The following is a 24,730-nucleotide window of genomic DNA, read 5'->3' as shown; positions in this document are numbered from 1 at the left end:
ACTTAGCTTGGTCTAGAGAGAGGTGAGTGAGTGAGTGTGTGTGTGTGTGTGTGTGTGTGTGTGTGTGACTGCGTGAGCATAAGCTGTATGAGATTGTCTATGCGGGACTGTATTTGATTGTGGATGATCGTGTGTGTGCACACATGCATTGTGTGTGCATGTGGGCATGCATGTGCACATGCTTCTGCGTGTGGTTGTGTGTAGTTCTCTGAGTGTAAACTTGTGTGGGATTGTGTACGCATGTGCATACCTGCATTGTATGTGCTTGTGTGCAAGTAAGTGTGTTCATGCACACAGCTAAAGGAGAAACAGAAAGAAGGGCAGGATAGAAGCACAGAAGGAAAAGACAGGCAACAAGAAAAGGCAGAGAATAGACATGTGGAGGCCAGATACAGACAGAAGGAGTGGGTGCAAGGAGCAGGGAGCAGGGAAACAAGTGACAGGGCAAAGGTGGAGAGCAGAGGGCGGGGAAGCGAAGAGAGAGCACAGGACGTAAGAAAAGGAAGGACTCAGCGGGGTGAGGCCTTAGCCATTTCAGGCCTTAAGAAATGCCTCGTTAGGGAGGCAGGTGGACTCCGAAGCTTCCAGGAGAGTGACGTCATCCCCTTGTCATTTTTCTGTGTCGACATCACAGAGTCTGCTGTCTTTGTGTCCTGGTGGTTCTCATCACCTAGCCTGGGCTCTGGCCTCAACCCCCATGGCCCTGGGAGATGGTGCCATCCAGTCATATCTGAAACCTCTTTGTTGGGCCTGTGGTTTTATTTTTTCTAATAACGTAGCAACATCAAACAAAGGAAGTCACGCTTGTCCTTTGCCTCAACAAGGTAAATAGTCGCTGCCCCAGCTCAGGTGCCTCCCTTGCAGAACACACACAGGTGGGGAAAAGGGCTTGCAGGGGGCCTTGGGCTTATGGGGATAAAGAGGCAGGAACTGAGTCTGAGAACAATAAAAACCAGGCCTGGCACTTGGTGTGGAGCAGTGACCAGGGAGAGGACTTGACCTGGGGAAGGGACAGGGCTCCAACAGGAGCCTTCTGAAGCGTGCGGGCCAGGAGGCCAACTGCATAGGGTGGCGAGAAGGACCCAGGACCCACCCCCCGTGGCTTTCCCTTTCAGGTCTGAGTCTCTCCGTGTGCAGAAGGAGGATTGCATTGGCTCAGTGCTTTCCAAAGTGCTGAGGGATTCCAGGGGCACCCACGGAGCTCCCCTGGGGCCTGTGGACGGGGGTGGGTGAGTGAGCAGGAGTCAGGTCTCCCCTCTGCACTGACCTGAGCTGCCTCATCTTTACATTTTACTTTTATTTAAAGACTGTAAGCCAAAGCCAGTGTGAAGCCTCCTGAGCTGGCTGATCTCCACATCCCTGCCAGCACCTTATGACCCACCATTCTACACTGGTGGAGGGGGGCTTATGTTAGCGCTATTGGGACCCTGGGACAGAGTTGACAGTGAACTTTGGCAGAGGAGGAGGTACCTTTTTCGTGTGATTAGGGAACCTGGATTCTTTCCCTGGCCCCAGCACCGGATGTGTACCCCAAAGAGGCTAACTCCTTGGGACTGAAGCCCATCTGCCCACAAGATGCAGGAGTTTGAAGGGTGCACCCCACCCTAAAGGGCACAGTCTCATCACCCTGAATTTCTGGGTTGGGCAAACCACTAGTTGACACAGTATTCAGCCATAAAGAAACAGAGAAGCTACTTCCTTGAAATCAGTGCTACCTTGATAAGTATAAATCCTGCAAGAAACCAAGGAGAAACCCATATGAGATATTAACTTGTTGGGTAGAAGGTCAGGTTCACGTTTCACAGGATGACAATGGCTGTGCTGTGACCCAGCAGGCTCTGTTGTATGTGCCAAGGCCTCCCAGCTGGTCTGGGCCAGTTCTGTCCTTCCACGCCTCACTGGGAGCCACCCATTTTGTCAATAAGCAGCTGGTATCCCTCTGCTTCTTAGTCATATGTCATTTATAGACTCCTGATCTGCCCCCAGTGTCACGGCCGTTGTAGGTTCTGGAAGGAACAGAAAGCAGGTAACTGACAGAAAAACCATCCACCCTCGGTTGAGTTCTCTTTGAGTTTTTCTCTTGGATTTGGGAGCTGGGGGCGGAGGGTGCCTGCCTGTGTGCTGGGGGTATGGGGAAAGGCATTCACCACCAGGCTGAAAAATGACCAACTGCTCAAAAGCCAGGTGGATAAATCTGCCAATTCAGTGAAATCACATCCTGTTCCATTCGGAGGGGACAGCAAACACAGATGCACACAGCGGAGTAGTAATTACATCTCAGAAGATGCTAAATATTTCAACGCCTGTCTGGTGCCGATTCTTATTGGAGGGAATTTTCTGGTGTTGGGTTTTACAGGCAGTAAAGTTGTGTACTGAGTTATTTTTCTCTACCTCTCAAAAAGCACTGTGTCCATATTTTACCATGTGTCAGGTAATATGGAAGTTGGCTTTATGCAAATCATTAGTTACCTTAAACCACAATCTCTGTACTCACACTGGAAAGCTCTTCCCTGGAGTTGTCTCTTTGCTGGGGAAAACTCTTCATCACTGGATGGTCGTTTATTTCTGTTTCTAGGAGCAACCACTTCAGATTCCTAGCGTGTGGGTGGTTTGCACGCATGAGTCATGCAGATGTTACGTTCCCCTGAAAGAACCAGCCAGATCTTTTACCAGGCAGGGACTTTGTCCCAAGCTGCTGTGACCTGGGAGGTTAGCCCTGCTACTGCAGCCAGAGGCTAACTGTTGAGGAGGCACAAAGGCCAGCCCCCTTCTCTGAAGGACGGTGTGACTGCCCTGTGGAAATGCCCCAGCGGCCCTTGGGCCTCAGGTCACAGCTCGGCTTTACCCAAGATCCATCCTTGCTTGGCCCGTCCTTCCCTAATGCTCGTGGAGGTTTTTCCTGAAGGGCGCTCCCTGGAGAAATCACATGCCCCGGAATCCCTGTCTTAGGCTCTGCTTCTAGAACCTGAACTAAGACAGGAAGTAGGCCCCTACAGCGATGGCCCTGAAGAGCCTGGATTCCATGGTCTTTTACCTGGTGTCATAAATGGTTCCCCCAAGTCAGTCCAGTTTCTCTAGTTTCCCTGAGAACTTTGCCTGTGGCAGAGGCAGATCACAGAGGCTCCACTCCAGCACAGAGCAGGGAGACAGCAGGTCACACCACTGCCAGTTGAGTGCTCTGCCAGTTGATGGCAACTTTAGTAGGATGGATTCTTCCTAGGATGCACCTATGAGGCAAAGTGTTTTGTCCCAAGGGTCACAGGCTTACAATGATGGGCAGAGAGAAACCCATTTGCTTTGTGCAGACACCTAAAGGACTACTGTGAACGGGCTCTCCCTTACCAGGCTACTGCTGTCATCTGAAGTTCCAGTTTTAGAGATTTAGTTCTTGGTGGCACACAACTATAGTTCTAGCTACTTGGGAGACTGAGGCAGGAGGATCACTTGAGCCCAGGAGTTTGAGACCAGCCTGAGCAACATAGTGAGACCCCCTTCTCTATATTTTTGTTAAAAAGAGATTTAAATCTTTATGTTGAAACACAATCTGACTTATTACTGTGTCAGCCATTAGCAGTTTCACGTGAATTAATTTGTCCCAGAGTCCAGTGTGACAGCTGGTCCAGGCAGCATTGGATGGGGGCAGGGAGGAAAGTTAGGGCCAGAATAGAAGTTTGGGTGAGACGCTCATGCCATGGACTGGGGCAATGTGAGAGGCCACAGCCAAGGTCTGCCCTTTTCCCAGTTTTGCTGATCACAGTGGTAGTGAAAAAAAGATCCATTTTTAACGATCCTCCTTTTCTATTTCGGAGTCATACACAGTGATGGACACATAGCAGGACTTAAAAATGCTTGCTCTGCAACACGAAGACAACGACTGAATGACCCCACTTCCATGAGGTATCTAGAGTAACCAAACTCATAGAAACAGAAGCTAGAAGGCGGTTGCCGGGGTCCAGGGGGAGGAAAATGGAGAACTGTTGTTCAATGGTGATGGAAACGCTTTGGAGATGGGTTGTATAACAGTGTGACTATACTTAACACAACTGAGCCGTGCACTTAAAAATGGTTGATGGAAGCCCTGAAACTCTGTACGTCTATTACGCATCATTAAAAATATTGCTCAAAAAATAGTCGATGGCAAATTTTATGTTATGTATGTTTTACCACAGTATAACATTTTTAAACAGTGCATGCTTTTCAAAGACAATTTGGGCTTTTCATAGAGCAGATCCTCGGGAACTATTTGTTGACTTACTTGCAGAGCACATTCCTTTGGCAAACTCCCAAACCTAAGAGAAAGGCTCAAAAAGAAATAAGCAAAAAAAAGCATAAAGGCCCTGAAGCCCTTCAGAAACCTGTTTCCAAATTCTTCCAGATTCCAACTTCTCCCCTACTGAGGCTGTTCCCAAACCTGTCTCCACACGCCTCCCACTCCAAACCCAACCCTGCCCTGGCCCTGCCACATTTCCAGATTCTCTGTTGCTTCCCTCCTTTCAGATTCTACTTTTATCTTCTCAGATGTTAACTCTTTCCCCATCCAAAGCACAAAAAATTAGCCAGGCATGGTGGCATGTGCTTGTAATCCCCACTACCTGGGAAGCTGAGGTGGGAGGATTGCTTGACCCCGGAAGGTTGAGGCCGCAGTGAGCCGTGATTGTGACCATGTGACTGCACTCCAGCCTGGGTAACAGTGTGAGACACTGTCTCAAAAAAAAAAAAAATTGATTTGTCGTTATCAGTCCGTTTTCACGCTGCTGATAAAGACATACCAGACTTCGGGTAATTTATAAAGAAAAAGAGGTTTAATGGACTCACGGTGCCAAGTGCCTGGGGAGGCCTCACAATCATGGCAGAAGGCAAAAGGCACATCTTAAAGGGTGGCAGGGAAGAGAGAGAACCAAGCAAAAGGGGTTTCCCCTTATAAAACCATCAGATCTCGTGAGACTTTTTTACTACCAGGAGAACAGTATGGGGGAAACCTCCCCATGATTCAATTGTCTCCCACTGGGTCCCTCCCACAACACATGGGAATTATGGGAGCCACAGTTCAAGACGAGATTTGGGTGGGGACACAGCCAAACCATATCACTTGTAGAAAAAGTAATGCTTCAAAGCCTTCAATAGGGAATTGATAAATACATTAACTAACAAAGGAATACAACCAGCTATTAGACAAATGAGAGAGATCTCTGTGTTAGCAGGGAAAGATGATAAGGAAGACAAGGCAGGATATAGAAGAGTGATCCTCCCGCTTTGACTTCTCAAAGTGCTGGGATTGCACCATGCCTGGCCCTGTGGCAGACATCGAAAGGGCTGCTGTGAAGGAACTCTCCCTTACCAGACAACAGCTGTTATCTGAAATCCTACTTTTAGAGACTTAGTTCTCGATAGCACACACCTGTAGTCCCGTCTAAGCTGGAGACAGAGGCAGAGAATGGCTTGAACCCAGGAGTTTGAGACTGCAGTGAGCTGTGATAGTGCAACACGGGGCTGTGCTGTGAGTCCCGCCTACCCCTCCCCAGAGTGTAATCCAGGAAGATTTCCAGAGGAGCCTTGAGAGCTTTGACAATGTGTTAATGCCATTGGGAGACCCTGAAGGCTGGCCTCTGTCTCCATGGACTGGGGTCTAAGTGCTGTGAAAAAAATCTGAAGGCCGGAGAGGACTAAGTGTTTTGGAGGTGCTAGGGAGCTGCTGGACTGGGGATTCCCTGCTCCCCACATCTGCGGGAGCAGGAAGGCAGCTGTAGGGCTACTATGGTCTGAATATTTGTGTGCCTCCAAATTCATGTTGAAACTTCATCCCCAAAGCAACAGTATTGAGAGAGGTGGTGCCTTTAGGAGACGATTAGGCCATGAGGCTCCACCCCTCAAGGATGTGATTAGTGCCTTATAAAAGGGCTGAAGGGAACTAGTTAGGCCCCCCTTTTTGCCCTTCAGCCCTTCTGTCGGGGACAGAGCATTCGTCCCCTCCAAAGGACGAAGAGACAAGGTGCCATCTTGGAAGCAGAGGACAGCCCCCACCAGACATAAACCCACTAGGGCCTTGATCTTGGGCTTCCCAGCCTTCAAAATTGTAGGATATAAATTATCATTGCTGATCAATTACCCACTCTGTGGTATTGTGTTAATAACAGCAGGAATGGACTAAGAGACCATGATGTGTCTGGTCCAGGAGGCCCCAGCTGTGGGACACTGGGGGGTAACCTGGAAGTGTCTCAGGTTGACGAGGGGGCCATTGGGGATGGAGATGTATTTGCCCCATCAAGGGAACTCCCCCTCACAGGGGAGAGGGGCCAGCGGGGGATTTCTGAAAAGGCCCTGCAAGAGCATCAGCCTTAACAGTCTGCCAGAAACGGGAGCAGGGCCCAACTTGGGATGCCCCATTGCAATAGGAACTGTCTTCTGCCTCTGCTTCTCTTTCTCTGATGCCCTTTGACCCTCCACCTGGCAAGCAGTCAGGAAGAGAGTAAAGATCAGAAGAACCCATCATGCTTCCCACCCAAAAATAGTTCCACCCTGGGGAGGGAGGGAAGACATTCCTTTTACTGAATTGAGACTATGTTTGGGCCTTCAAGAGACTGCAGGAAGGCCTGAGTGATGCAGGTGCCAGCGAAGATCACCCTCACTGGATAAAACTTGAAGACACCAAGAGAGGAAAAGTCAAATTGTGTTTTGATCACAATCCAAATGTCAAGCTAGTTTATGTAGGTTTTCATGTAGATTAATTTCAGAATAATTGTCCTAACTCTGCTCCACTGTGCTCTGTGTAAATTGCTTCAGGGAAACATGATCAGCTTGCTTAGTAGGCAGCAAATATCTTGGCAATGACACAGGTTTTAGACTCACCCCCCATCTCCCCAGTTCAGGCAATTAAGTCTTATTGGTCTTCATTTAGATGAACAGGACAAGCTTCTGTAATTAACATATTGTTGTCAACTTGGAATGTCTGCCCAGCTAAAAAACGCAATGTGTAATTTATTGTGACTGCTTTTCATTGAATGAGATAGAAGAAAAGTAAATTAGCCATAAATTTAGAGAGATGGCACATAGTGAAATTTTATGGAAACTATCACATTAGCAGTAAGAGAAAAGGCCAGCTCCCAAGAGAATGCACAGGAGAAAAATTTTACTCTGTGAAGCTCCACCAAATGCTATGAGTGTAAGAAACTCTGGGGTGAGCATCAGGGACGTAAAGACTGGTGTTTCCAGTTCTCATAAGGGAGAAAGAAATTGCTAAGCCAAGGCTCTGGAATCCTCAAGGCTGGCCAAGGCTACACAAGTTCAGGCACTCAGCAGAGAGCTGATGGAAATGCATTAGTGCTGTTGTGGCCCATGCACATGACTTGCCAGGTAGCTCAGAGGGAAGACTCCCTGGAGGTTTGCTGCTTTACCTTCAAGTCTGGGCTGATGCAATCCCTGGAGGTCTTAAGCCAGCTTGGGCTGCTAAAACAAAATACCATAGACTGCCCAGCTTAAACAACAGATATTTATTTCTTACAGTTCTGGAGGCTGGGAAGTCCAAAATCAAGGTATGGGCAGATTGTGTTTCTGGTGAGGGCTCTCTTCCTGGCCAGCAGACAGCTTCCTTCTCAACATATCCTCACATGGCAGAAAGAGGAAGCTCTGGTTTGTCTTCCTCTTCTTATAAGGGCACTAATCCCACCTTGGGGCTCACTTTCATGACTTCATCTAAACCTAATTACCTAATACCACATTGGCGTTTAGGGCTTCCACATATGAATTCTGGGGGACACAAACACATAGTAACTATCCAGGGTGCAAATAATAGGCCCTCTGTTGGATGCTTTCTGAACTTCACCTTCACCAGCACCCAGTTATGAATACAGATGATTAAGACTGGGCTGTTTCCTTTCCCACACTCCAGCCTTTCAGGAGACAAAATGGGGGAAAGAAGAAAAGCCTTAGTGGCACCATCAACAAGGGCCCTCAAATATTATTTCTTGGGGTACGTGAGTCTGTATTTGTGTCTTGTTCCAAAAAGGAATTAAGGTGGCTTGCAAAGATAAAAGCACTAGTTTGGAAGACAGACGAGGTAACAGGACAACAAGGGTAGGGACAGAAGATGGGGCCAAGTCTTAAAATAGAAGGCAAATTAAATCTATTTTGCCTTAGTAGGGAACAGTGCCACTTTTTCTGGGAAGCCAATGGCATTCTGTTCCATCTCTCTTTTAAATTAAAAGTTAAGTAGTGTTAGTCTTAATCTAGGGGCCTGCATTTCGATGAGTTTGTTTTGTTTTAGTTTTTTGTTTGGTTCCCTGACCTAAAATCTCTATTTCAATAGGAAAAGCAGGCTCCATCACAGCCCATTGAGAGTTTTCTTGTCACTACCTTCCTCTCGGGATCTTTGGTGGGGAACTTGGCAACTCTTAGGGGGAGCAGAGGAAGTCAAAGGTTAAGAAAGAATTGGACAGTCTGTACAATACGAGAACGCCATATTTTAAAGAAGAAAATTCTAGAAAGAATGTTCATTTTACCTCTAGCATTTAGATGGCTCAGGATTTAATTATTTTCTGGAAGAGAGTAAGACTAGGTAGGCATCCTCCAGTAAAGCCAAAATCTCCATAAATAAAACAGAATTATGTGGATAACGGACTTGAGTTTTTGCTTTGGCTGTGTAAGTACAGTGAAGCGGAGCAGTGTTTATGTCAATTTTGTGATATTTTTATTTGGCAGAACAAAGGCTATCTTTTATTTCAACCCCAAGACTTGTTTGCCAAGATTATCTTTATTTAAATGCTCCGTGTTCATAAGCAACAACACTTCTATAGTCTCACATAGAACAGTCACTTTTAGTCCCTGGAGTTAAAAACAAAACAAAGCAAAACAAAAATCAGGGAAGTTATGCAAGTATTATATAAATAGTGTCTAATGATTCCCCACTATCTATAGGGTCAAGTCTAATTTCTTAGCCAAGGAGGAAATAATTTCTTGCATTCTGACTCTTCTAACTTGGTACCTCACTTTTCCTCCAAAAACATCCCTACAGGGACTTTTGGGCTCCAGATAAAAATCTTTGACTGCTGTCTCAGCTGGAGTTGCCCATACTTACCTCCTCAGGCATGAAGTTTGTGGCCTTTGGCTGGAAATGCCAGGGAATTAACGCCTCCCCTCCTCGGTTCGACAAGCATCTCTCCACCAACACCTGCTGGCAGTTGAAGAATAATCATCTTCCCAGCTTCCCTGCCGCTCAGCCTCTCAAGGGAATCATTTAGGATGGGTGTGTTAAGGACTAAATTGTGTCCCACCAGGTTCACATATTGAAGCCCTAATGCCCGGTACCTCAGAATGTGACTGCATTTGGAGATAGGGCCTGTAAGGGGGTGATAAGTTAAAATGCAGCTGTTAGGGTGGCCTCTAATCCAATCTGACTGGTGTCTTTATAAAAAGAGGAAATTTAGACTCACAGAGAGACACCAGTGATGCGGTTGCACAGACCAGGAAAGCCAAGGAAAGACTGATTTCAGGAGAAATCAAAGATACACCTTGAACGTGGACTTCCAACCTCGAGAACTGAGAGAAAATAAACTTCTGTTGTTTAAGTTACCCTGTCTGTGGTATTTTGTTATGGCAGCCTGCACAGACGAATACAGGTGTCCCTCATAAAGACTTCATTTCCACCAGGCTCCTGTGATCACTCTTCCCTCTCCATTCATCACAATTATTTTCTGCAGCATTCCGGCCAGGCGTGGTAGCTCATGCCTATAATCTCAGCACTTTGGGAGGCCAAGGCAGGCGGATCACTTGAGCTCAGCAGTTCAAGACCAGCCTGGCCAATGTGGTGAAAATCCATCTCTACTAAAAATACAAAAATTAGTCCGGCATAGTGGCATGCACCTGTAGTCCCAGCTACTAGGGAGGCTGAGGCAGGAGAATCGCTTGAACCTAGGAGGCAGAGGTTGCAGTGAGCTGAGGTTGTACCATTGTACTTCAGTCTGGGAGACAGAATAAGACTCTGTCTCAAAAAAAAAAAAAAATTCTGCAGCATTCATTTGAAAAAAAAAATTATTTTCCTTGACTCTTTATACTTTATTTTTTTCTAAGTCTTCATTTGATCATGAACCAAAGCTTCATTGAACACCATAATGCACTGAGTCCTGTTCAAAAGCAAGTGGGTTGCTAGATTCTCCACTTCAGCTATGAATCCACCACAGAACCAAACAAAGCCTTCAACACCACAGGGCTTAGAAAAGCACAATGATTTCTCTTTTTAAAAGTCACTGTTTTGGCCGGGCGCAGTGGCTCACGCCTGTACTACCAACACTTTGGGAGGCCAAGGCAGGTGGATCACTTGAGGTCAGGAGTTCGAGACCAGCCTGGCCAACATGGTGAAACCCCATTTCTACCAAAAATATAAAAAGTTAGCTGGGTGTAGTGGTGCGTGTCTTTGATCCCAGCTACTCAAGAGGCTGAGGCAGGAGAACCATTTGAACCCGGGAGGCAGAGGTTGTAGTGAGCTGAGATCGTGCCACTGCACTCCAGCCTGGGCAACAGAGAGAGACTCCATCTCAAAAAAAAAAAAGTCACTATTTTTCTGATTGTTAAAGTAATTGGAATTATTAAATAATTAGGAAAATATATAGAAAAGCATGACAATGAAAATAAAAATCACCCATAAAGACCCCTCCCTAGGTAGAATTGCTGTTAAGATTTTGAAGAATTGTCTTCCAATCTGATTTTGAAAATATACGTCAGGAGCATTTCCCCTGTTGTGAAGCAGCTTGTAGAAATCATTGGTAATATTGTGATAACATTCTATTGTATGGATTTACTGTATCTGTCCATCTATCTATCTACATATCTATCTGTTTATCTATCATCTGTCTACCTATATGTCTATGTATCCATTATCTATCTATCTATCATGTCTACCAGTCTATCTATCTATCTATCTATCTATCTATCTATCTACCAATCTATCATTTGTCTACCTGTCTATCCATCTATCATCTATCTACCTGTCTAGCTATCTACCTATCATCTGTCTACCTGTCTACTTGTCTATCTATCACCTGTCTACCTATCAGTCTATCTATCTACCTAGCATCTGTCTGCCTATCTATCATCTATCTACCTGTCTATCTACCTATCATCTACCTGTCTACTTGTCTATCATCTGTCTACCTATCTATCATCTGTCTACCTGTCTCTCTATCATCTGTCTACCTGTCTATCTATCTGTCATCTGTCTACCTGTCTATCTATCTATCATCTGTCTACCAGTCTACCTATCTGTCTATCGTCTATCTATCTATGTATCATCTTCCTATCTAGCCATTCACCCATTACTAGACATCTGGCTCTTTCCAATTGTGTTTATTATTATATTATTATTTTGCTTTGTTAAGTAGCTTGGTTCATTAACTCTCTGTATAAATCTTTGTTCAAATTTCTGATAATTTCCTTAAGATAGATTCCAAGGAGACTATAGGATCATGGGAGATGACCTTTACAGTTCTAGAAAGACATTACTAAATTGCTACTCTGGGGTGATTACACAAACCAGATGTGATTTTTACTATAAAATAACAAGGACATACTAAGGGTTCTTCTGCTGCTTAGATTCGATAACCTCAAACTTAAAAGAAGAGAAATGTTATAAGATAGTCAGAAAACTTCTGAATAATATTGGAAAGTTGACTACAAAAAGCTCAACTTTTTGTTACTGCATCGTAATTATGATAGAAATCATTAAGCTTGTCCCAGTCAAGATCCAATATAAAAAACTGAGGTTTCTTAAGTCTAGAATTTTAAATCTAACATAAAATGTAGAAAGACCCTTAGAAAGCACCTGCCAATTTTATAGATGATGAATGTGCAGCCCAGGGAAGTGGATTTCTCAAGATCACGCAGCTGCTAGTCAAAGAGCTGGTATAGGTATTCCTATCTCCCAAGCACTGGTTATAGAAATTTCTTTTAGGAGATTTAAGTCAGGGCAGCACCTAGCAATAATGATATGACTTATGCCTAAACATTTCCAACCAGGGATATCCTTGAGTTGGCTGCTAATAAATGGTTTTCCAAACACAGTTTATTAATTGGTTAGTTAGAAGAACAGTGAATTACAAAGACGATACTGAAATAATGAGTATGTCTAAATAAGAGGTACTGTTGGAAACAAGGGTCGCCTGCTGCAGGAACTACCATGGCTTTGCCTTTGGAGAAAAATGAGAATTTAATTCCTTTTGGAGCTTTTGAGTGACTGAGGAAAGTCCTATGCTCACCTCCTTTCTCAGGATTTTTGGAATGAATAATGAGCAAGAAGTAAAGTTTTGCTCTGCTTCTCTTGCAGCCTGGGAAAAATGGGTTGACTGTGCAAGGCAGGCAGGCAAGGCCAACACATTGTCTTCCTGGTCTGAATGTAGAGACTTAGATCCTAAGAAAACTGAGTTCTATACCAGCACTGTCCAATAGGAGATAATGTGAACCATGTATACAATTTTAAATTTCCTTTTTTTTTTTCTTTTTTGAGACAGGGTCTCTCTCTTTCATCCAGGCTGGAGTGTAGTGGCACGATCTTGGCTCACTGCAACCTCTGCCTCCCAGGTTCAAGCAATTCTCATACCTCAGCCTCTCGAGTAGCTGGGACTATGGGCACGTGCCACCACACCTGGCTAATTTATATATATATATATATATATATATACACATATACACACACACACACACACACACACACACATATATATACACACATATATATGTATATATATGTATATATGTGTGTGTATATATATATGCATATATATGTGTGTATATATATGTGTGTATATATATATATATATATATATATATATATATATATATATATATATATTTTTTTTTTTTGTGGAGATGCAGTTTCGCCATGTTGCCCAGGCTGGTCTCGAACTCCTGAACTCAATCAATCTGCCTGCCTTAGCCTCCCAAACTGCTGGGATTACAGGTGTGAGCCACTGTGCCTGGCCCAATTTTAAATTTTCTAATAGTCACATTTTAAAAAGTAAAGCTAATTTTAGTAATATATTCCGTTTACCCCAATATATCCCAAATATTGTCATTCAACGTGTAATCAATATAAAAATTGTTATTGAGCTAGTTCTTTTTTTTTTTTTTTTTTTTTGGTCATATTAAGTCTTTGAAATCCAGTGCCTATTTTTCACTTACAGCCCATCTCAGTTTAGACTGGCCACATTCCGAATGCTCAATAGTCACGTGTGGCAAATGGCCTCTGGGTTGGACAGCACAGATCCATACAGCAGAATTCAAGGTCAGGTGAACCCATGCCTGAGGGTTTTGTTACCATAGTGGAAAAATAAAAACGATGATATGGTCATTTTAATCTCTTTTAAGTGTCTACCAGGCAATGTGTCTAAGTTATAATTAAGAAGGGAGAGAGAGAGAAGGAGAAAGAGAGAGAGAGAGAATTAAATTAGCCTCAGCTGGGTAATTTTGCACACTTGGCTGACAGCTTGAATTCATGTCCCCGAGCGCCAACAGTTCATCTACTGCTGACCTTGTGGCAACCACCTGAAGGCCACTCAGCACCCCCACTGCCATTAATCACACCCAGAGAGGCCTTGCCAGGGAGAGGAGTTGCAGGCGTGGTTCTAGAACAGGATGCCACAAATGGTAGAGGGTTTTTCTTATCGGGGACTCACAGTCATAGAAAGAAAGTCTCCTTGTTCAGGGAGGGTTGCTTTTGTTTGCTTTTTCTTTTCTCTTCCAGCTGAAGGGAGTTCCTGGGAAAGATGAATGCCATTGGAAGCAGAAATTCTTGCCAGTAAGAAAAAAAACCTGCCCCATCCACACACTTGCCCCACCCAAGCAGCTATTCCAGCTTCAAAGGACTAAGCAACTGGCCCAGCCCCTCCTGCTCCAAGCTTCCCCAGGGCCAGTCCAGGGAACGCTGGGCCAGGCCTTGCAGAGAAGCCTGTTCCCTTCATTTCCTCTCCCGTGGGCAGGGGCTGCATTTACAGCAGCTGTGCCCAGAGCCGCCCTTGCTGATTTAGATCAGGGATGACAAGGCAGGCCAGGAAAACCTTGATGCTCTCAGATTCTTCAAGTAGGGAGGCCTTGCAGCAGGTACTGAGGAAGCTGGGGGAGGTCTGGCAACCACCATGCTGGAGAGGAGGGTAGGCAGAAGCAGAGGGTCTGGCGCAGGTCCTGCAGCTTGATAAAAGGCAGGGCTCGGAACTGAATGCATCGCTGACTGGCAGCAACATCTCAGTCTGCACTGGCCACATGCCGAATGCGGAATACTCACATGTGGCACATGGCCTCTAGATTGGACAGCACACATCTATATGGTAGAGTTCAGTCTCAGGTGGACCCACGCCTGAGGGCTTTGTTACCAAAGTGGAAGAATAAAAATGATGAGATAGCCATCCTCTTGTGGCCTATCTTTCTTCTCATTCATGCAGTGCCTCCGTGTAGAAGTTGAGTCTTTTCTGTGACTTGCTGCTGAACTATCACAGTATATTTGTGGGTGTTGGGAGTAGGGGCTGAGAGGGAAGACTGTATATAGGAAGCCACAGTCAAGGCCATCACCCAAGCCAGTGTGTGGTGATGCTCACAGCTGCCAAAACATCACTGAATCCTAGATTTGCTGCTTCATCATTCCATGAATATTTCTTGTGTCCGTACTGTGTGCCAGACACTGTTCCAGCCCTTGGGGGATCCAGCAGGGAACACAATAGGCAGAAACCCCTGTGTTTGCCTTCCCCTATAGTTGGGGAAACAGACAAAAAAAAAGTAAATTACATAGCAGGTTAGAAGCTGACAAGCAGGAGAGGGGGATGAGACGTATGGGAAAGGGGATGGCTGCCATTTAAAATAGGGTGGCCAGGGAAAGTCTCATTGAGAAGGTGATATTTGAGCATAATCTTCCTAGATATAAAATGTTGAGGCAAATTCCTTAACCCTCTGACTTTTGTAAAATAACAATAGCAATACTACTACTAATAGGTAGGTCTATTTATTTTTTTATTTTTTATTTTTTTGAGATGGAGTTTCACTCTTATTGCCCAGGCTGGAATGCAATGGCACAATCTTGGTTCACTGCAACCTCTGCCTCCTGGGTTCAAGGGGTTCTTCTCTTTCAGCCTCCCAAGTAGCTGGGACTACAGGCATGCGCCACCACACCTGGCTAATTTTTTTGTATTTAGTAGAGATGGGGTTTCACCATGTTGGTCAGGCTGGTCACGAACTCCTGTCCTCAGGTAATCCACCCGCCTCAGCTTCCCAAAGTGCTGGAATTACAGGTATGAGCCACCACGCCCAGCGGTAGATCTATTTAGGGTGCTTATTCTGTACCCTCCTAAGTTCATTAATACATTAACTCATTTAATCCTCTTGTCCCATGAGACGGGTGCTTTTTATATTATTAACCCCATTTTACAGAGTAGAAAATGGAGGCAGAGAAAAGTGAAGTAAATTTGTCTGAGGCCACACAGTTAATAACCCAGGCAGGCAGGTTGACTCCAGAGCCCGCCCCTTTCCCTGGCACCCCTTAGAGGGGCAGTCCTGAACAGAAAGTCTCCTAGATCCCACCCAGTTTCAAAGAGGAAACGCATATCAGAACATCTACAGGACACATTTCCAGGCTGAGCTGAGCTCGTGATTTGAGGTTGATCTTGGTGCTGCCACGTTTCTCCAGTGTTGAGTGGCTAAATGCTATCCAAACATCCACTGTTTACAAGCATCACACTGGACACTGCAGAATATACAGAGAATATGGCTGCAGATGTCCTAAGAAATGGATCTTTGCTTTGGAGAGAAACCCATTAAAAAGGGAGGCAGAAAGAGACACTACCAAGAGGCTGCACAGCCGATTTCCAAGGTCAGAGGGGAGCAGGCCCTGGGTAGTGGATGTCTTGACAAAACATGCTCAAAGGCTTAAGTGGGGATCTTGCCTGAAGGTAGGATATGACTTTGAAGGGAGTCGAGGAGAAGGCGTTGCCCAGGTAGGACAGGGATGGCACAGGTACAGGGATGGCACAGGTACAGGGGTGGAGTGAGTGGGGACAGTGTAAGGCACATTAGAATGGTGAGCTTGTTCATCAAAACTAACCTATTCTGCAGTCTGTTTCCCAGAGGTGTTGAGATTAATAAGTAAGAAGCTGCTACCAGATCCTGATAACCTGTTCTGATAGGGGATTAATAGCTGAGTATAATAAAAACCAGCAGCAAATCTGAAAGGAATTTCCAGTTGGCTTTGGAATGCAGCTGAGTTGACTTCCTGATTACATTCCTTCCCTGGGCGCGTGTCACCTTGGGCAGGGTGGATAGCCACAGTAGACAGTAAGAAAAGTCCACTTATGTGGTAGCGAAGGAAGAGCCTGGAAGACTGAGGCGCGGGGTGGGTTCTGTCAGCCTCTGTTATTTACACTGAGTGTGCGGCCTTGGGCACAGTGGCTCTTTATCGCAGTTTCCCCATTCTGTAAATGGAGGATATATGCCCGTTCCCCAGTGGTTTTTGGATCAAGTGCACTAGCTCTGCCAGGCCTCCTAGGAGAATGTTATTGCTTCTGCGTGTCTGTCTCCCAGGTTCTGAGTGCTTCTTGTCTAAAAGCTCCCACATGAGAACTTCTCTGGAGGCTGGCCTTTGGGCTACTGGAGCTTCTTCTCCCACAAGCAAAGATCTGGAACATTCTGGGAATTCATGAGCCCATCCTGGCCCCAGTGGCCTGTAGCTAATGACAGTTCCCTTCCCCGCCGGGGGATAAACCGTAAGCTGTAATTTATACTCCTGGGTCCCCTTTAGGGTCTGCTGAGGCTGGGATTGCACCTGAACGCATACCTGTGCTGGGTCTCTTCCCACTTCCCTCTCCTGTTTCCCCCGTTCCCTTGCTGGTTTCTTGTGGGAGTACTTCCATTGTAAGTCACTGGCACATGAATCTTCTTCCTAGGCTGTTTCTGGGGAACCCAACCTAAAAGTATAGGAAAGCTTTTGAAAACTTGCAAGTAAAACATACACTTCTAAGGAACTACCATATGGAGCAATTGCAGGACTGACTGTACGAATATTACATCTCTGAATTACTAGGTTCAGGATGGAACAAGAGGTCAAAAGGTGCCCCAAAGCCAGTTGTTCCATGACATCCTCTGTGCACTCAGCCTCTGTGACCACCACACCCCAACTTTGTGTGTGCCTCCTGTCCCCACGTCAACTGGGAGCTGCGATTAATCTTCCGGGGCCTCTGGGGCCTCCACGGAGCTCCATCTGTTCAGCCTGCACCGCTTTCCACCCAGGGGTCGCCAGCTTATTCCCACTGCGCTCCCCATGTGACCTTTCTCAGGGCTCTAGGAGAGAGGGAGAATCCCAAGTACAGGACACCGGCCCACGCTGGATTCATCTGAGGGCTGTGTGAGGAAGACACTTGCTTTTGGAAATTGTCAAGGGGACAAATCATGAACCCAGATTTTTGATCAACAAAATTTAAATAGAAACAAAGGCTCTTCATTATACCACCAGATTTAGGACTTTTAAGAAGAAATACACACCTGCTTCAGCAACAGGCCCTCAAAATTCAGTCTTGTTTTGGTATCTGCTGTGGCTAATGAGTTTCCATATTTCCATGACACCCATGTGAGCCTGGGGACAGGATGAACCCACCAGCATGTTCAAATTTTCAGTGTTCATCTTCCTCATTTAGTGGGTACGTTTCAACTCTCTTTCAAAACTAGGTCACTTTAAAGACATTAGTAGATAATCAAACTTACATCATGAAACCCAGCATTGCTTTTCGTTTCTTTCTTTCCTTTTTTTTTTTTTTTTCGGAGTTTTGCTCTTGTTGCCCAAGCTGGAGTGCAGCAGCATGATCTTGGCTCACTGCAACCTCCGCCTCCTGGGTTAAAGTGCTTCTCCTGCCTCAGCCTCCCAAGTGGCTGGGATTATAGGCACCTGCCACCATGCCCGGCTAATTTTTGTACTTTTAGTAGAGATGGGGTTTTGCCACATTGGCCAAACTGGTCTTGAACTCCTGACCTCAAGTGATCCACCCGCCTCCGCCTTCCAAAGTGCTGGGATTACAGGCATGAGCCACCACGCCTGGCCCAGCCTTGCTTTTCTAATGGCCAAATCCTCACATCCTGTTCCATCGATTCTCATGCCTGTGTTTGCATGTGTGTGTATGCACAGTACTCCTGTGAATCACGTGTGCCCAGCCTGGCCCCTTCATTTCCGTAAGACAGGGTACCCTTACTCTGAAACTGGGCCCACCCAAAGGCTGTGGGGTGATGGGAGGTGGGGAAGAGGGTTGGTGGGTGTGATGGTTCATACTGAGTGTCAGCTTGATTGGATTGAAGGATACAAAGTATTGATCCTGGGTGTGTCTGTGAGGGTATTGCCAAAGGAGATTAACATTTGAGTCAGTTGGCTGGGAAAGGCAGACCCACCCTTAATCTGGGTGGGCTCAAGCTAATCAGCTGCCAGTGCAGCTAGAATACAAGCAGGCAGAAAAATGTGAAAAGAGAGACTGGCCTGGCCTCCCAGCCTACATCATTCTCCCATGCTGGATGCTTCCTGCCCTCGAACACTGGACTCCAAGTTCTTCAGTTTTGGAATTCGGACTGGCTCTCTTTGCTCCTCAGCCTGCAGGCAGCCTATTGTGGGACCTTGTGATCATGTGAGTTAATACTTAATAAACTCCCATATATATATATATATAATATGGGAGTTTTATATATATATAATATATATTATTTATACTATATATTATATATTATATAATATATATTATATATTATTTATACAATATATAATATATATTATATAATATATAATATCTATTATTTATACTATATATAATATATATTATATATTATATAATATATATTATTTATACTATATATAATATATAATATAATATATATTATATTATAATTATAATATAATATATATTATATATATATACAGTGGGAGTGGGAGGTGGGAGGGAGACCTAGTTGAGACTGGGAGGGAAGCCAGAGAGAGGTTTAGTTTGGGGAATTGAATGTATACAGACATGTAGAATCAGAACCACCAGGTACTTCACCCCAGCCAAGGCCAGGTGAGCTTTCAGCACTGGAGGGGTGTATTAGTCCGTTCTCATGCTGCTAATAAAGACATACCCAAGACTGGGTAATTTCTAAAGGAAAGAGGTTTAATGGACTCACAGCTCCACATGGCTGGGGAGGCCTCACAATCATGGCCGAAGGCAAAGGAGAAGCAAAGGCACGTCTTACATGGTGGCACGCAAGAGAGATTGTGCAGGGGAACTCCCCTTTATAAAACCATCAGATCTCATGAGACTTATTCACTACCACAAGAACAGTATGGGGGAACCACCCCCCATGATTCAATTATCTCCACGTAGCTCTGCCTTTGACATGTGGGGATTATTACAATTCAAGTTGAGAGTTGGGTGGGGACACAGCCAAACCATATCAGGGGTCTAGCCCAGCATGGTCATATGTCCCAAGAGGTGGTCAGTGCAGTGACAGAGAGTCCAGGACCAAGCACTGGGGAAGTCTGTCATAGAAAGGGTTATGGGGGAGAAAGTGAGTTTGAATGAGTTTGCAGAGAAAAACAAAACACAGAACCTGTTGATGATGATGCCATGGCAGGTCACCCCCCAGGTGCAGAAGAACAGAGTGTGGAGACCAACCTGGGAAATGAGAGGCCGGCTGGACTTAAAGCTGAGAGCCCAGGGCTGGAGCTCCTTAAACCCCCTGGCTTCTGCAGGCCAGGCCAGGTATGAGCCTTTCCAAAGAAACCAGGCAGGGATTGCGCAGGCGGGTGCTCAAACCCAGGTCCCCTGACTTTTGGTTCAATGGCCCTGTCAAGTGAAGCCCCCAGGACCAAATGCCAGAAAATCCTCATCCTAATTCTGCTACCCCTGGTCAATTCACCTCAAGGAACCAAAAAGTATTTGTCATGCGGGTTCTTTCTGGGGGTGAAGAAGCAGGAGAAATGGGCTGGATGTTTATGGAACACTTATGGAGTGTGAATTTGGTAAGAGAGTACAAAACACTCACTGTGGGTGACCTAAATCAACAGATAGCCTTGTCACATAGAGAAAAGTCAAAAATTGTCTCTTTCCAGTTGAACACATCAAGTCACATGAATACAGATTTCAAAATCTCTAGGTTCTGCTGGAATTTTGTCATAGCAAATATTGACTGAAGTTGGTGGGCCATCGGCAGGGTTTTGTCAATGTTTTGGTTATCTGGAAACTCGGACGGGCTGTAGTGGAAAGAATTATGGTCATAGGGAGTTAGGAGACCTGGTTGGGTTCTGGCCCTGTCTCTGTTTACCAACCAGCAGCATGTCCTTTGATGACCCTCTTCAACTCGCTGCTCTCCCCACCTTTCCTCATTTGTAGGATGAGGAGATTGGGCTCAAAGATCTCCAAGATCCTTTCCAGCTTGGAAAATGTGATTTTATAACATAAATGGGGGTGCCTTGGCTAGTCATCTGATGTTAATTTGAACTTCAAATCATTCTGATAAACATTTTCAGGCTCCGGAGGTGGACTGAGGTGCATTTGTGAGATCCAAAGTGACCTCTTCCAAACCCCAAGTCTACACAAGGTTCGTGGCCTTGGGGAGCTATTTGGAGTCTCCAGCCAGGGTGATGATCTGGATTTTGGTGCCACTGACAATGAAAGTAGGCTCATATCTGGCTGGATCCTGCAGTAAAGAGCACATGGAGTATTTTCCTTCCCTTTTTAGCTAGACAGAGTTCAGTTCAGAGAGCTGGGAACTCCAAATGAGGACATGGTGATTTGACTGATGATCTGTCAGGAACATTAAAACGTTTCCAAGGGATGCTCCGGACCTTAAACTGCACCAGCACAGTTCCGAGTCCAAGCCGTCATAACGGACTCTGAGACCCTGATTTGGAGGAATTGAGAAGAAGTAGGACAACTCCTACATGGGACCCTCTTGTAGGAAAGCTGGTCTCCAGCAGTCTCTGACCCCATCTCCAACATCTGCTGCTGTTGTTTAAAGAAAAGGTCGGGGGGTGGCAGATAAAGTGAAAAAGTTTTTCTTGTAAGAGAATATCGTCGAAGCAGCCGTGACAATGGATAGCCTTCCTTCTCGTGGCTGTAGAGCGAATTCTGCTTTAAGAAAACAGTGTTCACAAAGATTTCAATTCACAAAAGGAAGGGTGAGGGGGAAAGAGGACTCTTCACTCCCCAAAAGGATTTACTGTTAAGTTCATTTAAGTCGGGTGGGGCGTCCTAACTGGCTGCTCACAGCCCGAAAGGAAGCCCATCTGTCTGGGTGCCGCAATGGGCAACTGTCTGGATTCTTAATGAATTAAATTTGTTTATCTATTTTAGAAACAGGTTGTCGTTCTGTTGCCCAGGCTGTAGTGCAGTGTCATGATGATAGCTCACTGCAGTCTCGAATTCCTAGGCTCAAGCGATCCTCCCATCTCAGCCTCCCAAGTAGCTGGAACTACTACTCTGCCCAGTATATCACAATTTTTTTTAAAGGGAGGGGAACAGACTAGTCTTTTCATTCTAAAAATGTGTGAGTCTATAATGGAACTCTAAGAACAATATAAGAGAATAATATAAGTGCCAGATATAAATTATTTTTTGACTACTTGTGGTTTTGAGATATTAAGGTTACTCACTCTTCACGATCATCATCATGGATGAGAAAGAGGTGCATTTAATGAGGTGTCTGAGTGTTTCATGAGCCCATTTTTAGCCTTGGGACCTTCGGTACACTGTATACATCATTTTTACTGCAGAGAAAAAAGTCTTCCCCTTGTCATGAATGTAACGTGCACACGGTAGACACAGCAAGGGGGCAGCCTCACATTGGAAGTGTTGGAGAAAGCAGTTTTATCAGGTGAAGGTTGCAGGGTTTTTACTGCACTGAACATTGACTATGAGCAAACTGCTGCAGAAATACAAGATACCAAGGGAAGGTGGGGGAGCTAGAATGGTCCCTGCCTTTGTTACCTGAAGTCTCCTTTTGGAGACAGAAAATGTTTCCACCCAGAAATGTCTAGTAACAGGAGGCAGGAAGTGGCCTATGGGGATAAGGAGTGCTTCCAGGAAGGAAAAATCTCTATCAGTTGATGCTTGGGAGAGACAATGCATAGTGAGTCAGGCGGTGGGTGGTGGCTCACATCTGTAATTCCACCACTTTAGGAGGCCAAGGCAGGAGGATTGCTTGAGGCCAGGAGTTCCAGACAAGCCTGGGCAACATAGAGAGACCCTGTCTCTACTAAAAATAAAATACCTAGCCACATTTGGTGGCACGCGCCTACAGTCCTAGCTACTTAGGAGGATGAGGAGGGAGAATCGCTTGAGCTCCTTGGGAGGCTGAGGAGGGAGGATTGCTTGCTGGGCAACAGAGCAAGACCCTGTCTCTTAAAAAAAAAAAAAAAAGCGAGTCTGTAAAAGTTCTCAAAGAGATGTGATTTCAGGGTGTGTGAGCTCAGGGATAGAGGTTCTGAAGGCGAGAGGGCTGGAGAGGATGCAAGGATGATGGTTTTCAAAGCCAATCTCAGAATAGCTGGGGATTCCGGGAAGTCACCTGCTAGGGCTTCCTGACCTCAGGAAGATGCTGGGAGTGCAGGGTCAGGTTACCCAGGATGGGATGCATATCAGTCTCAGTCCATCCAAAGGCATGTTCAGAAGCATAGTGAGAAGGAGTAAATGCTTCTGGGTTCTGATAGATGTTCTGATAGATGCCTATGAAATTGATCTGGAGTATGTTTTTTTTTTTTTTAAATAATGTGTAAATATTCTCAAAACTTCTACAATTCCTTGCCTTGCTAAACTCTTTTATTTATCAAAACTCCTTAATAAAGTCATCTTTTTTTAAAAAAATGCGCAAAGATGGGGCCTTAGGAAATATTGAGAACAAATCTTTTGTCATTACTGTGTGAGATAGATTGTAAATTTTCTCTTGATGAGTAAGGAAACTGGAACTTGGGGACCCTCAAACAAAGAGAGAAGGGTCCTGGTGGAGAGGGCCCCATGGAGAAAAAAAGGTAGGGACAGATCCCAGGAATGGGAACGGATGCATCAAGGAAGTGATACCTCACGTTGCATTATTACCGATTCCTCTGCTGTACTCCAGCCCATTACCAAACCCGCGGTAAAATTACATTGCTGTGTCCATAGTGCTGTGGGGGACAGAGGAGGAGAGGTAGGGACTGATGTGGGACAGACACAGAGAGCAGCAACAGGAGCAGGTCAGCAGCCAGAAGGGGAGGAGCGGAGATGGTGAGTGGGCAAGCCCCTTGGAAGTGCCAGGAAGTTTGAGGATGGTGCTGGGCTTCACGCTGGGAGATGGATACATTTTGTTCAGTCATTTAAGGAAAGGGCCTCCAGAAGGTTGAAGGAGACACAGTCCCTGCCTCTAAAGCTGGCAATAACCCAGTTAAGGGGAGGAGGCATGCGTGTACATAGAAGCACACACACGAAATGTACCTGGTAACTCAGGCAGCAAATGCGAAATGCCCATTCACTGAGCAGAAAAGATAGGAGGGCTATGAGAGTTTAGATTACTTTGGCTGGGGCCAGTGGCAGTGCTGGTAAATGTTTAACAACTGCCTGGAAAGAAAATAAAAACTCCAATTTGTAGCATTTGCCAATTTTCACGGTGTAAATACCATACTTCTACCATGGTCGATTTCAAGTTGCCAAGTTGACTCATTAAACATGGAGTTGGGGAGAGACACTCAAGAGTGCCTCGTCACAGAGTAGCTCCACTTTAACGGTGCAATAGACGTAAATGAACTTGAGCACAGATTATAGCAAAATGTATTATAATTCAGAGGTGATGAGTTCTGGACATTTCCTACCTTAGTTTTTAATACAATTTATTTACTTGTGAGTTTACATAACTTAATTTTTAATAATGCCTGTGTTCCATAACCAGCTCACAAAATTCATGAAATATTAACAATTGGTTCTTGTGAGCTGGTGTGAGCCATCTCTAGTACATTGCTGGCTGAAATGTCAGGGCAGGCTTTCTGGAGAAGATGGACTGAAAACTGGGCTTTGAAGGATGAAGAGGAGTTTGATAAGGCTTGATAGAAGTCACTCTAAGCAAAATAAATACATGGCAAATGAGTGGCCAGAAAAGCAGAAGGCATGAATAACAAGGATGCAGTTTACTCCTATTTCTGTAATATTTTAAGGTTAATAAAGTACTTTTTAAACAAACAAAAAAGGGATGGAGAGACCAAGCATGCATTAAATACACTTGTTAGGCATTTAAAATACATAAACAAAGCATCAAATATTCATGATATGCTAAATATACACATGATATGAGGCACTCACTATTCATGAGGTCTAAAAATGGTCCCTTTGCTCACACCTCAACTCTGGTCCTCAGAATCCCTGCCATCAGTGGGCAAGGCTGGTGAGGCAGGGAGAGAAACTGGATAGATACACGAATATTGCAAAATCCAGGGCTCAGCTCATGTTGTCTTTCACTCTGCTTACATCTGAACCCATCTCTTTCCTCTTGTTTCTTGCTTTTAAGTTGATTTAATAAGCTGTATTAGTTATCTATAGCTGTGTAACAATTATCCCCAAACTTAGTGGCTTAAAATAGCTAACATTTATTATGTCAAAATGCCTGACCATGTCCAGATTCCCGACCCCCAGAAATTATGACATAATGACACAAGGTCTCTCCCAAGGCTCTAATCAAGGTCTTGGCCAGGGCTGCAGTGATCTCAGGGCTAACTGGGAGTGATCCACTTCTA

The 24,730-nt window shown here is 45.1% G+C and overlaps 1 long non-coding RNA gene across 1 annotated transcript, besides 3 other annotated features; it reads left to right on the top strand.

Moving 5' to 3' along the window:
• Window positions 562-851: an enhancer, noted in NCBI's record as "active region_4074". NCBI's record gives its function as "activates an Ori minimal core promoter by ATAC-STARR-seq in GM12878 lymphoblastoid cells {active_cell/tissue: GM12878}" and the evidence as "EXISTENCE:reporter gene assay evidence [ECO:0000049][PMID:35858748]".
• Window positions 850-4,130, top strand: LOC124902507 (uncharacterized). Its single transcript, XR_007062296.1, has 2 exons — window positions 850-2,026; window positions 3,810-4,130. It is a non-coding gene; the product is annotated as an uncharacterized LOC124902507 (long non-coding RNA).
• Window positions 2,328-2,828: an enhancer, noted in NCBI's record as "H3K4me1 hESC enhancer chr10:115718423-115718923 (GRCh37/hg19 assembly coordinates)". NCBI's record gives its function as "activates a minimal SCP1, AML or CMV promoter by ChIP-STARR-seq in naive H9 embryonic stem cells {active_cell/tissue: H9 hESC(naive)}" and the evidence as "EXISTENCE:reporter gene assay evidence [ECO:0000049][PMID:30033119]".
• Window positions 13,641-13,690: an enhancer, noted in NCBI's record as "active region_4073". NCBI's record gives its function as "activates an Ori minimal core promoter by ATAC-STARR-seq in GM12878 lymphoblastoid cells {active_cell/tissue: GM12878}" and the evidence as "EXISTENCE:reporter gene assay evidence [ECO:0000049][PMID:35858748]".

This window comes from Homo sapiens, chromosome 10, assembly GCF_000001405.40.
Source record: "Homo sapiens chromosome 10, GRCh38.p14 Primary Assembly".
In the NCBI taxonomy this organism is placed as follows: Eukaryota; Metazoa; Chordata; class Mammalia; order Primates; family Hominidae; genus Homo; species Homo sapiens.
The sequence above is the reverse complement of the archived record's forward strand: the minus strand, read 5'-3'. Positions and strand labels throughout refer to the sequence as shown.